This window comes from Homo sapiens, chromosome 1 (genome assembly GCF_000001405.40).
Source record: "Homo sapiens chromosome 1, GRCh38.p14 Primary Assembly".
Lineage (NCBI taxonomy): Eukaryota > Metazoa > Chordata > Mammalia > Primates > Hominidae > Homo > Homo sapiens.
In genome coordinates this window covers 33,493,172-33,506,333 of record NC_000001.11, presented here as the reverse complement: position 1 = coordinate 33,506,333, position 13,162 = coordinate 33,493,172, and the positions used below count along the sequence as shown (strand labels likewise).

The 13,162-nt window shown below is 45.7% G+C and overlaps 1 protein-coding gene across 14 annotated transcripts in view; it reads right to left on the bottom strand.

The window, feature by feature from the left end:
• Positions 1-4,690: 4,690 nt before the first annotated feature.
• The window catches only part of ZSCAN20 (zinc finger and SCAN domain containing 20), a 28,999-nt gene continuing 20,527 nt past the window's right edge, over positions 4,691-13,162 (bottom strand). For 10 of the 14 annotated variants that reach the window (NM_001377376.1, NM_001377379.1, NM_001377378.1 and 7 more), the window contains 2 exons: positions 12,719-13,147; positions 4,691-12,116 (listed from right to left, as the gene is read on the bottom strand). In NM_001377376.1, the coding sequence (NP_001364305.1) occupies positions 10,858-12,116; positions 12,719-13,147 (1,688 nt within the window). In that variant the 3' untranslated portion in view covers positions 4,691-10,857. The remainder of the gene's footprint in view (positions 12,117-12,718; positions 13,148-13,162) is intronic. The other 4 variants (NM_001377377.1, XM_047429973.1, XM_017002238.2 and 1 more) reach the window with 1 other exon arrangement.

Sequence of the window (13,162 nt, the reverse complement as noted above, 5' to 3'; positions counted from 1 at the left end):
AACTATGCACCCAATAAGAAAGCAGATGTGTCATAAAGCAGAAACCAGGAGGTGCAAAGACAAATTGGAGCATGCCAATAACAGCAGTTTTAACTCACCACTCTCAGTTCATAACAAATCAAGGAAACAAAAGTAAGGCTGTAGAAGACCTAACCAAAATAATCATAAGGAAGTTTTTATGAATATGAATATCTGTCAAACTCTGCAACCCAATATTAGAGAATATGCTTTCTTTTGAAGCATACATGGAACATTCATGCAAATATCCCTTATACATAGAGAACTCTTAAAAATTGAGAAAAATAAGTCTAAAAGTACCATAAGCAAACATTCAAAGACTGTGAAAGAAAAGACATGCAAAAACCTTGAAATATATGAAAAGGTACTCAGTTTCACTCCATTATTCCTTACCTATTAAATCAGCAAAAATCCAAAAGCTAGGCAACACACTGTTGACAAAACTGTGGGAGAAACTGGCACTGTCACTGCTGGTCCAACTCACAGAGGAGAATTTGACGACATACACTATTTGAACAATGAATACACTAAAAGCCCAGACTCTATCACCACACACTATATCCATGTAACATGACTGCACTTGTACCCCTAAATCTAGAAAAATAAAATAATAATAATAATAAGGCAATGGATGAAAAATAGTAACTGTGTTTGAATCTATGAGTTCGTAATAATATTTTTAAAACAAATAATCCTATTTAAAAGTGGGCAAAGGGCATGAATAGACATTTCTCAAAAGAAAATATATGGATGGCCAGCAAACATATGAAAAAATACTCAACATCACTATTCGTCAGGGAAATGCAAATTAAAACCACAATGAGGCCGGGCACGGTGGCTCACACCTGTAATCCCAGCACTTTGGGAGGCCGAGGCAGGTGGACACCTGAGGTCAGGAGTTCGAGACCAGCCTGACCAACATGGTGAAACCCCGTCTCTACCAAAATATACAAAAATTAGCCAGGCATGATGGCAGGCACCTGTAATCCCAACCACTCGGGAGGCTGAGGCAAGAGAATCGATTGAACCCAGGAGGCAGAGGTTGCAGTGAGCTGAGATGGTGCCACTGCACTCCAGTGTAGGTGACAGAGCAAGACTCTGCCTCAAAAAAGAAAAAAAGAAAAAAAAAAAACACAATGAAATACCACCTTATTCCTGCGAGAATGGCCATTATGGATAAGTGAAAAAACAATAGATGTTGACATGGATGTGGGGAAACGAGAACACTTAGACACTGCTGGAGGGAATGTAAATTAGTACAACCTCTACGGAAAGCAGTATGGAGATTCTTTAAAGAGCTTAAAGTAGATCTGCCATTTGATCCAGCAGTCTCACTACTGGGTATCTATCCAAAGGAAAATAAGTCATTAAATGAAAAAGACACTTGCGCATGTATGTTTAGAGCAGCACAGTTCACAACTGCAAAGATGTGGAACCACCCTAACTGTCCATCAGCTAATGAGTGGATAAAGAAAATGTGGTGTACGTACACCATGAAATACTATTCAGCCATTAAAATCAATGAAATAATATCTTTTGCAGCAACTTGGATGGAGCTGGAGGCCGTTATTCTAAGTGAAGTAACACAGGAGTGGAAAAACCAAAAACTGTATGATCTCACTTATAAGCGGGAGCTAAGCTATGAGTATCCAAAGGCATACAGAGTGATATAATGGACTTCAGAGATTCAGACAGCAGAGGCTGGGAGGGGGCCTAGAGATAAAAACTACACACTAGGTGCAATGTACACTAACTCACACAGGTGCACTGAAATCTCAGAATTCGCCTCTATATAGTTCATCCATGTAACAAAAACCACTTGTACCCCAAAAGCTATTGAAATAATCATAAATAATAAATAACATTTTTTTAAAAACTCATTAGTCACTTATGGAAAACATTAAGAAACCAGCTATATTTTGATAACCAGTAAGTAAAAGGAGGGAAGAGCAAGCATTCATCCTGCTTTTTGTATGCAATGTATTTCAGGGTAACTAAATATTAAGAAGCGGAGTCTCTTTACAAAAGTATTGCAGCCAGTAAATGAAGGATAGAATTTATCACCATTTTGAAACCTTTATTAAAATAAATTCTGGCAATGATCATCAATGACTGCTAATATCACAAAAAGCGAGGCAACCAGACATTATAGGCCTTCTGATGGAAGTACATAACAACCACCTATGAAGTATTCTTGCCAAAAAAAAAATCAAATTTGAATCTGTTTAAACCTTTGGATCTAAATACCAGTTACAGGAAATACAGATGACAGGGAAACAAGTTCAATGATACCATAAGGATGTAATTGACAACATACAGATTCTGGAAAACTCCTCAGTGAAAATGACCTCATCTTAAATCCAGTTGCGATGTATGACATTAACTGAATTCAAATTCAAACAAGCTGTTCTTAAAAATTTTGAGACAATATATGAAGTAGGAACATCATATATTGTTGGTTCCATTCATATATTTGAGACAATATATGAAGTAGCAAGTTATTAACCTGAGCCTCTGAGGCTCTGTGGTAAAATGGGGATAGCAACAACAATATTTCATTGAGTCGTGCTGAGGCTGAAATGATGTCATCCACCCAAGGTCCTTACCAGCATGCCTGGCCCCTAGGCTCTTTATAGCTATTGGCTGTCAATTACTGGTCAAATGAATAGGGAGGAAAGAAGCTATGATCTGGAGGCAGCCTCAAGGAGTGAGGAGAAAGAACAGCAACCCCACCTCCCACCAGGAGGAACTTGGGCTGTATGCAAATAAACAGCCTCCATTTGAAAGGGCTGCAGGGAGGTGGGATCCTCTGGATTTATTTATTTATTTAGTAGAGACGAGGTCTCACTATGTTGCCCAGGCTGGTCTCCAACTCCTGGCTTCTAGTGATCCACCCACTTCAACCTCCCAAAGTGCTGGGATTACAGGTGGGAGTCACTGCACCCAGCCCCAGCAGCTTCTTGACATGGGGCCAACAGATGGCCAGCCCCAGCCATGAGGCATCTCCCTCAGGTAGGGCTTTTTCCTAGTATTACGTTCTCAGTTGTACTGGCCTTGGCCAGCTCTCTGGCTACCTATGTTGGACCCCTTCAGGTAACAGTTCTTGTTCCTGCCTGAATTGGCTGGCCAGCCTGAGTGGACCCTGACATTTATAACTGACCTGTATGCCTTACTGGCATTTGTGGTCAAACTACAGCTAACAGCAAGAGCATGGACTATGAGGAGTCTGTGATCTCTGTCCTGTCTTCCAGGAAGGTAAGCCCTGTGGGTCTGGTCAGTATTGGAGTAACTGCTAGAAAGAAGTTACATGAAAACATGTAAGCAAGACCCAGAGCTTTCTCCTCAGGGAGACCATGACTCATTTCCTCCAGATCTCATCTTCGTCCCAAGACATGCAGAATATTAGTACATGCCAACCACTAGTAACACCTATACTTGAGATCTGACCCCTACAAGAAAAAACAAGTTCTCAGTGGATTCCGAGCAAAACGAATTCACAATCAAAATTCAATGATAACAGAGCTGTATTAGTCCGTTTCTACGCTGCTATAAAGAACTGCCCAAGACTGGGTAATTTATAAAGGAAAGAGGTTTAATTGACTCACAGTTCCACAGGGCTGGGGAGGCCTCAGGAAACTTATAATCATGGCGGAAGGGGAAGCAAACACGTCCTTCTTCACATAGTGGCAGGAGAAAGAAGTGCAGAGCAAAGTGGGGAAAAATCACTTATAAAACCATCAGATCTCATGAGAACTCACTCACTATCACAAGATCAGCATAGGGGTAACTGCCCCCATGATTCAGGTACCTCCCACCAGGTCCCTTCCACAACACATGGAGATTATGGGAACTACAATTCAAGATGAGATTTGGGTGCAGACACAGCCAAACCATATCAAGGGCCTAAAAGGCAAAGTTGCCTATATCTCATTCAATAAGGACAAAAGAGTGAGCGTGTATTAGGAAACTTCAGCCTTGAGCTACAGTCTTTTGAATGTCCTCAGTAGGACAATGGGTGGAGGAAGGCCAGAAAAGAATATAAAGACGCTCCAGCTCTCCCCTCTTTCTCAAGTACGAAGTGCGATCAGTTCTGTTCCTGAACCAGGAAGCAAATGAGAGGAATCAGGTAAGTTTCAGCCCCCTGGGAACTCTTTCCTATGTTTTCATCCATAATTATCCTTGTGTTATTTGGATTTCAGACACCTCTGGTTTCCTAGCACAGGGATCCTGAGGGACATATCAAAGTAGATGCATAGGGACCAGCAGACTGAGATGCCACTCCTCCCTCCAGGGGGCCCCATGGAACGCAGGGCCCTCACTGGCCCTGGGGACTGGGTGACGTCAGGGGTGAGCCTCTCGTGATTGGCTCCCTCACCCTGCGTAAGATCAAAGGGACAAAAGGACAGCCCCGACACCCGGAGCCACTGTGGCTCCGGCCAGTTGCACCGGCCACTGAGGCCATGGCTCCTGGGGTTGTGGACATGCCTGAAGAGCCACCCATGTCTGAAGGACCACAGGGAACAATGAAAAGAAGACACCTGCCCAGCACAAGGGGCTTGAGACCTTGGCCCCAATCTCCCTGACAACCTGTGTCTCGATGACTTCCCTTCCTTTTCTCCCCCATGCTTTTGGTGTAACCAGGAAGAAGCCAGAAGAATCGAAAACACATTCCTTTTTTGGCAGTTTAATATAATTTATTAACTTATCAGGCCATTCCATCCCAAAATATGATTTGACCAGCTTTAAGAGATGTACATAACAGCACAAAAAAAAAAAAAATAACAGAAAATGGGGAAGTGAAAGCAAAGCCAAATAAAATGAAGCCAGGGATTGGTCCACAAATTGCAAAACAAAAGGGCCTGTTCAGGTTTTAGAATTGGACATTAAATCCCTGAGGCTCCTGATGGACAAAATTTAATCCATTTTAATTTCACAGTCCCTAAGAGGGAATTAAAATCAATTACAAATGTCTCATTTCCATAAATTAGTTGGTCGAGAAAGGTCCCTGGAGATGACACCTGTGCTTCTCCAGGACACACCAACCGGGTTTAGCGTGAGCTCCTGCCCCTACTACTGATGCTGGCGCTCCAGCCTAGCTGGCCTTACCTCTCCATCTATTTCTGGGAAACTTCAGGAACAGGGTTGGGTTGGCGACCTCATACGTGGTCATGAACAAGCCCTTTCCTCTCAAGTGCTGTCCACAGAGGGATTCTCTCCTGCCTTGCCCCCTGGGTGAAGTCTGCAGTGGAGGGTTTCAAAGTGTCTCACCACCACTTCCTGCTGGTCCCCAGTGCCTATAAATATGCGGAAGCTTCTCTGTGGTCCACGAATCCCCCCAAAGCACTGAAGCCAAGTGTGTTCTATGTGGAAGGAGAAGACTCCTTTCTCCTTTGTGCCACATTTGTCACCTGCCACCAAGTTAGGGCTCCCTGAGCCCCAGTGACTCGAGATTCTAGTAGTCACAACTCTGCCAGCCTGGGCCTGTGGCTCCTCTCCTGCTTGGGCTCAGATACATCTGTCATGCTGCTCCAGGACCAGCTTAGAGACTGATTCTTGTTTTCCTGATCCCCCTTCCCGTGGCCCTCGCCCTCTAGGGGGCACAATTTTTATGGGATATTTTTCTACAATGAAAATGTAAAAAAAAAAAAAAAAGTGACTTTAGAAATAAGTATCATGTAATAGCAGGCATGATCAGAAGCATCTTTACACACAAAAAGAATCACCAACAGCGCCCTCATTAGAAAATCAATGTCTATGTGACTCCCTAGTCGACTATAGCATGTTTAGGTAAAATTATCTAATTGTATTCTTCTTTTTACTCTTCTAATGCTCTTGACTTAACCAAGTGGCTCTTAAAACAAAGAAGCTCTCAGCTTTGAGAAGTGGGGGAACCAAACACACACTGAAAAGAACTGGGACCTCTCAAACTCTCTGTCTCTTCCTCCAAGCAGCATAAAATGGGGTTACTGGGGTGCAGGCTCCTGTAGGGTTCCTAACAGAGACTAGGTGAGAGATGCGGCACACGGAGGTGAGGAGAAAGGTCACCCACTCAGCTGCAGCATGGGGTGGGGGAAGCAACAATAAGGTAAGGAAGGAACCTGCCTTTGCCCCCCGAAAACATGCATTTATTTGGAGGTAAGTGCAGGCTTGCTGAAAGTCAGAGGGAGGGCAAAATGATGCTAAAGACATGCTAGCAGTAATAGTGATGCTGGGAGTGTGAAGAAACAGCCAGGAGCTGTGGGGGAAAAGGATCCAGTGTCTACCATCCCAGGCCTCCAGGCCCATTTCAACTCCCTCCTCTCCTGTAAAGCCTTCCCTGCACTCCCACTGCATGGAACACTAACCCCTTGTAGCAGATTGGGGCAGGGGCTTGAGATTGGTGTTTGCTATTAACAGGTGGGGGAGCTGAGCAATGCCCAAATGGAGGATGGGATCAAAACTGAGGTTAAGGGGAGCTTTGGGAGGCTGAGGTGGGAGGATCGCTTGAGGCCAGGAGTTCAAGACCAGCCTGGGCAACACAAGACCCCCATCTCCCCCCCAAAAAAAATGGGGTAAGGGAATATTTTGAATGATTAATTTTGACTTTAGATATTGACTTCATTCAGAAAGAGACCTCTCAGGCAGCTGGGTAACTCCAGCCCAACTGGAAATGCTCTTAGAAGGGAGAAAGTATTGGCAGAACTGAGTCCAAGATGAGTCCAATGGGCAGGTCTCTCCAGGCACGTGCAGGGGAGGCTTGGATGGGAGTCACTGAGTGTGTACATCAATGCACGTGCTGAATGGGCAGGCCAAGAGCCCCATGATGGGTGATGGTAGACACCGGGGCTTTGAGATGCCCAGGAGTCACCCAAGCACAGCTGGTTGGCAGGCAGCTGGGATCCTAAGAGGAGAGGCCACAGCAGGACACAGATCTGGAAGTCATTAGCATCTACACAGAAGAAAAGAGAGAAAGAAAGGAAAAGAAAAAAAGAAGAGAAAGGGAAACAGAGTGAATGAAGAAGCAAGCCTAGGACAGAACTCTGGAGTACAAAGACCCAGAACAGCCTGGGTGAGGCAAGTTCACCTGCAACACCCACACCCACTCCAGACATCACTGCCTTCATTACTTCAAAACTGCACCCCTGTCCCCAAAGGGTGTTACTCCCCTACAGAAAGTGACTCAATTCTTTTCTGCAGCCCGAAAGCAGAGAGCTATCCCCACTGGGGGCCCCAGAACAAGATGAGGCAGGACGGACTACCCAGAGCGCCTGACTACATTATTTAGCATGGAGGGACCCTAGCTGCTTTACTCGGCTTCTGGGAGGAGGCTACAGTGGACAATAAGGCCAAGGCAGCCATGACCATGAGTTCAGCTGCTGAGGTCAAGGCCTTAGAAAAAACCGAGTATCTGAAAAAGTCTTGGCCCCTCCTTTCCCTGCCCCTACCTTTGGGTCTGCTGCCTCTGGGGGTCTGAGGAATGGGAGGCCTAAGGTCCTTTAGGTACCTTTTTGTCCCTTCAGAGGAGCCAATGCCCTTCTTGAGGTGGAGGGTGAAGAAATCAAGGGGAGGCAGCCATCTGGGGAGACGATCCTGCCTTTAGCAGCTCACATGATGTAACACCCTCCCAGGGCAGCATTTGCTGGTTTGGTTTTCCATAACCAGGGTCTGACCTGTGGCCAGGAAGGCTGAGAAACTGTCCACCCATTCTGCAGAGTGAATCTACTTCCCAAGAGCAGAATCACGCTAGCAAAGCTCAGGGTGTGTAAAACCAGATGTCAGTTTATCTGAGCAGCACAGACCTACTGGAGGGCGCCTGGGTGCCCAGCAAGCTCTTGGGTAGACAGCAAGCCTGGAACACTGAAGCCCCCTGAAAGAGTGCTTCTTCCAAAGGAAGTCAGGTAGACAAGGAGGAAGGGACCACCTGGGCCATTTTCTCACCTGGCCCACACTGGCCTTGCTTTCATGACTGAACCTCTATTAAGATTCATGAGACAAGAATGGCAGATAATAAACATCAAAACTGTTCACTAAAGATATGAGACACTAACACACTACCAAACCCAGGGGAAAGGGTGACCAAGTGGAGAGAGGACTACCACCTCACATCCACACAGAGCTCAGCTTGACTTCCACAGTGAGGGCTCCAGAAAACTCAGGGCTACATGAAGAATTCAGGGGTCAGTAACAAAGAAGACAGGGTCCAGAACATGATGGTAGTGGGTGGGAGTGGGGAATGGTCTAGATCTCCTTTGAGGGCCATCTTCCTCTCCATTCAGCACTATCAAGTAGCTCTGTCCTAGGCCCAATATTTGAAACTGAAATTCTTCCTTTCTCATTAGTTTAACTACTTCGCATACACAGATCTCTAGTCCTAGCCTCTCCCCTAGCTGCTAGCCGACATCCAAATGCATAGCATCACCATGATTTCCCTTAAGCACCTCAAGTTCTAGACATACCAAACTAAACTTCTCATCTTCTGCCCTCCTGCTCTATCAGCCTCTCCTCCTTGTGCTCCCAATTCTGAATGAGGACATGCTCTACCCAGTCACCAAAGGCATTCTAGCTTTCCTCTGATGTCCTCCCCTCTGCCTCTGAGACCTTTCCCATTCATTCCCTCCTCCTCAGTGTCACCACTGCTCTAGTTCAGACCCTAGCCTTTAGCTGAAATACCACAACAGTGTCCCAAAAGGCCATCCTAATTGCAGCATGTCCAAGTTCCATTCAGCTGTCAGATTTCAACCATGCACATCTGAACATTGCCCCGGGCCTGGTGTTGACACTCCATTCACATGTGAGGTCCTCAGTGACCTTGCTCCAGCACTCCTCTAATATCAGCTCCCTGTTCCCAACCTCCCATCATACAACCCCACCCTGAATCCATGCTATTCCACACAACAGTGCCTTTCCCTGGAATTCCCTCCCTCTCCCTCACCTCAGGATCCTTCCTCTCAGCTCACATTACTAGACAATATCACTGTATTACTGCAGTTACTGACATCTGCTGACTTCTATCCAGGGTTCATCCCATGACCCCTGCCCCGCAGAGATAACGTGGGCCAGAAAAGGTAAACTGGGAGGGAGTTGACGGTGATCCTAGTGGGGCTGGTTCTTGGGAAAGGAGGTTCTGAAGCAGGGGAAGGGGTTAAGAAGGGATATCACTCTGTGGGAGTAGCAAATCTCTCCACTGGCTTCCTCACATGTTAATAAAAGTTCCATTCTTCAAGGCTGCTTCACATCCACTATCTGATAGGTACTTCCCCAGCCCATGAACCAAGCAGGTTATGAATACATCCTAGTGTCATAAGAGGATGGCAGGAGGGGGATTTTCCTTTAAAGTCCTATGGAAACCGAAGTCCTTGGTCAACAGTTTTAAACCCTTCTAAGGAGAAACTCTGGAGGCCAAAGTGCTGCAAATGTTAAAACCATCCTATGTGAACCTTTCTAACTTAGCCTGTCCATGTGGGAGGTGAGTCTTAAGGGTCAACATACAGAAAGCCCTGGGCAGGCCTGGGACAGGATGGCTCAGGGTAAAATTGTGCCAAGAACCTGGTACACAGAACAGTGGTCAAGGCCCTCTCAGTAGATGACCATATACACCAGCACCTCCCACCTCAGTCTTGGCATGGGGACCAAGAACAAAGCTTCTGCTTGCCAAAAGGAAAAGCCAGACAGACAAAAATGTAGGGACCCCAGGCTTCTGTTAGGGTTAACCTATGATCAGCCAAGCATGGCAAGAAGTAGGACTGTCCCCTGAGAAAAAGAGAACTCTTACATCCCATTTCCTTAGCCAAAGCAGTATCTTATTGGAAGAAAAATTACTTAGGCCGCATATTTTTCCCAATCTCAACCCACCTATATCTCTCACCCATATTATTGCGAAGATGGAAACTCACATCAAGTATTTTGATAATAGCTCATCCTTGCTCAAATCACTTCACCAATTCTGGATATCCCAAGTCCTTTAATCCTTAGGGATTCTCAGTTTCCATATTTGTTTAAAAAATTCAAAATGTGGAAATTTCATAACAGGAAATGTGGTCTACAAAGTGCATGGAGATTCTGGCCCCTAAGTTACCTAACATGAATGGGAATTCAGTATAGCAATAAGAGCACGATAGACTCAAGACAGACAGATCTGTTGAATCCTGCCTCTCCCACTTACAGATGTGTGACCAGTGCGAGTTACTTAATTTCCCAAGCCTCTAGGAAATGGGGAGAAAGTTAGTACTTATCTCCTGGGGCCGTTGTGAAGATTAAATGAGATGATGTATACAAAGTTCTTAGCACAGAGCTTGCCAAAGAGCAACAGCTCAATAAACACCAGCTATTGCTGCTATTGATGATTTTGTAATGATGTCACTGTTCTTCCTACTCTGTGCTGAGCTCACAGTGGCCTGCTCTAGGCCAACTCCTCTCTCACCAGAGTCACAACATTCTCCCTTGAGGATATGCCCCCACTGAGAAAGTAGGAGAACCACTGCTGATGGGGTGGATTACACATGGATGGTGTGAAGGCACAGTGAGAGTTTGGAATCACTGCTCAGGACCACTGATTTAACTCTAATCTCGTAAGTTGCCAGTTTGGCTCAAATACTGACACAGCTCTTACATGATAGCAAATACAAGGACAGTCAGGATTCTGTGTGGGTCTTTACAGAAGAAAAACAAATTACACTTAAAAGTGCCTTCAAATCTGGATCCTTAGTATTTGTAATTCACTTCCAAATTACCTGGTTTATACCAAGATAACTTCCCTGGGTACACACCAAGCTTAAAAATTGGAAAGTTTATCTCTAGCATACATCTTATGATATAAGATATATACATTGAGTCCTCCTTTGTTGTTGAGGAAACTGTCCCCTACGACGCCTTCCCTCCTGCATGGGTTCTCCGGTGAGCACTGAAGTGGGAACTGTTGTTGAAGTCTTTGCCACACTCTGTGCACTTGTAGGGTTTCTCCCCTGTGTGGATTCTCTGGTGAATAATAAGACTGGAGCTCTGGTTAAAGCATTTCCCACACTCTCTGCACTTATACGGCTTCTCTCCCGTATGAATCCTCTGGTGAGTAATGAGGTTAGAACGGTCACGGAAGAATTTTCCACACTCAAGGCATTTGTAGGGCTTCTCTCCTGTGTGCACTCTCTGGTGTGTGATGAGCTTGGAGCGCTCACTGAAGCACTTCCCACAGTCCACACATTTATACGGCTTCTCTCCAGTGTGGGTGCGCTGGTGGTTGGCCAGGGTGGAGCTCTTACTGAAGCTTTTCCCACATTCGGCACATTCATATGGTTTCTCTCCCGTATGGATTCTTTGGTGACTAATGAGGGCAGAGCTCTTAGAGAAGCTTCTTCCACATTCAGAACACTCATAAAGTTTCTCCCCTGAGTTTGTGCTGTGTGGTCCAGGAGAATTCAAGTCCTTACTGATACTTTGAGGTTGTTCAGGAGCTGTCTCTTCTGTAGAATTCCTCCAGTGAGCACTAAAAGATGGGCTTTGGGCAAAGTTTCCCCCAGGCTCACTACACTGGTCAGGATTTCCTCCCAAGTGGATTCTCTGATGTTTCAGAAGGTTTGAGCTCTGGTTGAAGCTTTTCCAACATTCTCCACATTTATAGGGCTTTTCCCCCGTGTGAATTCTCTGGTGAGTGATGAGATTAGAATGGTCACTAAAGCTTTTCCCACATTCAAGGCATTTATAGGGCTTCTCTCCAGTGTGGATTCTCTGATGGGTATTGAGGTTAGAGCGGTCACTAAAGTTTTTTCCACATTCAAGGCATTTGTAGGGCTTCTCACCTGTGTGGATTCGCTGATGGGCAATGAAGTGGGAGCTCCGACTGAAGCTCTTCATGCATGTGTCACACTTGTAGGGTTTCTCTGCAAGGTACAGGCCTTGATGGTCAATAAGTTTTTCTAAGTCCTCTTCAGAAGAACTTTCTTGCCACTGTTCCTGTGAGGGATTTCCCCACTGCCCTTCATCTTCATTTTCATTTTCACTGTCTTCTCCCCAGTCAAGAGGTTGGCAAACAGCTTCTGTAGGACATTTTGATAAGGCTCCAGGCAAACCCTCAAAAATGTCCTGCTCTGAAATCTGGTCTTCATCCTCATGCCTCATTTCAAAACCTGAAAAAATGGACAGAAATGCAGTTTTTCTTCACTCATTAGCGCGCGTGTGTGTGTGTTTGTGTGTGTCTGTATTGTACATCTGTGAATTTGGCTAACATGAATTTGATTCTTATATCTTCTATCGCACATCTTATAAATGTGACTAACAAGAAATTGATCAAGTTTTGGTACACACAAGTGTTTGTGACCTGCAAAGCTGAGGAATGGACTCTGGGACATGGTGACCCCACCAAGTGAGCCATGGGGCTCAGCCCAGCAGCCACAGCCAACCTGTTTCCCCATCAAACTCCTCTATCTTAGTACTCAATCATGAACACCTCCTTCTTCTAGTACATTCCATATATCCTGTGTCATACTGGATTGAATAAAGTCTCTAACCGCCCAGATATACCTAGTAAAAGATAGAATGACTGACTGACTGACTGATTCGGGGGATCACACAAAGCTAGAGACTGGATAATCTGAGCAAAGCAGAAATACTTTTTCCCATTCAATCCCATTCTCTCTTTTAGTTAAGAGACAAAAGATAATGAGCCTGGCTTCCTCATTCTCTCCACATGCCCACAGATTTTGAGAACATCCAATTACTCCAGGCTTACCCATGTCTGGGGCTTTAGGACACAAGGTTGAAGGTTTGACAGCATCTTCATTGGCCACTTCACCCCAGGCCTCCTGGGCATCAGTCTCAGCACTACTCTGCCCACACCTAGGGAGACCTGCAGCCTCTCGGACAGTCCCCATGGCCCTGACTGCAGCCCGAGCCCTCATCAGCGAGTCCAGTTCCTCATAGAAAGGGCATGTCCCTGGTGGGTGGCTGCTCTTGGCTTTCCGGTAGCTTCGAAGGAGGTTTTTGAATCTGTAGCGACACTGCTCCAGTGTCCGCAGGAAGCCCAGAGCACACAGCCGCTCTGCAATGGCCCGGTACACCTGGCTGTTCTGGTGACAGGTACGAAGCTTTTCCGAGAATGGGGACTCACTGAGAATTGCCAGGAAGGCCTTGGTCTCCTCATAGCCCCAGTGCACACCTGCTGTCAGGAGTGAAG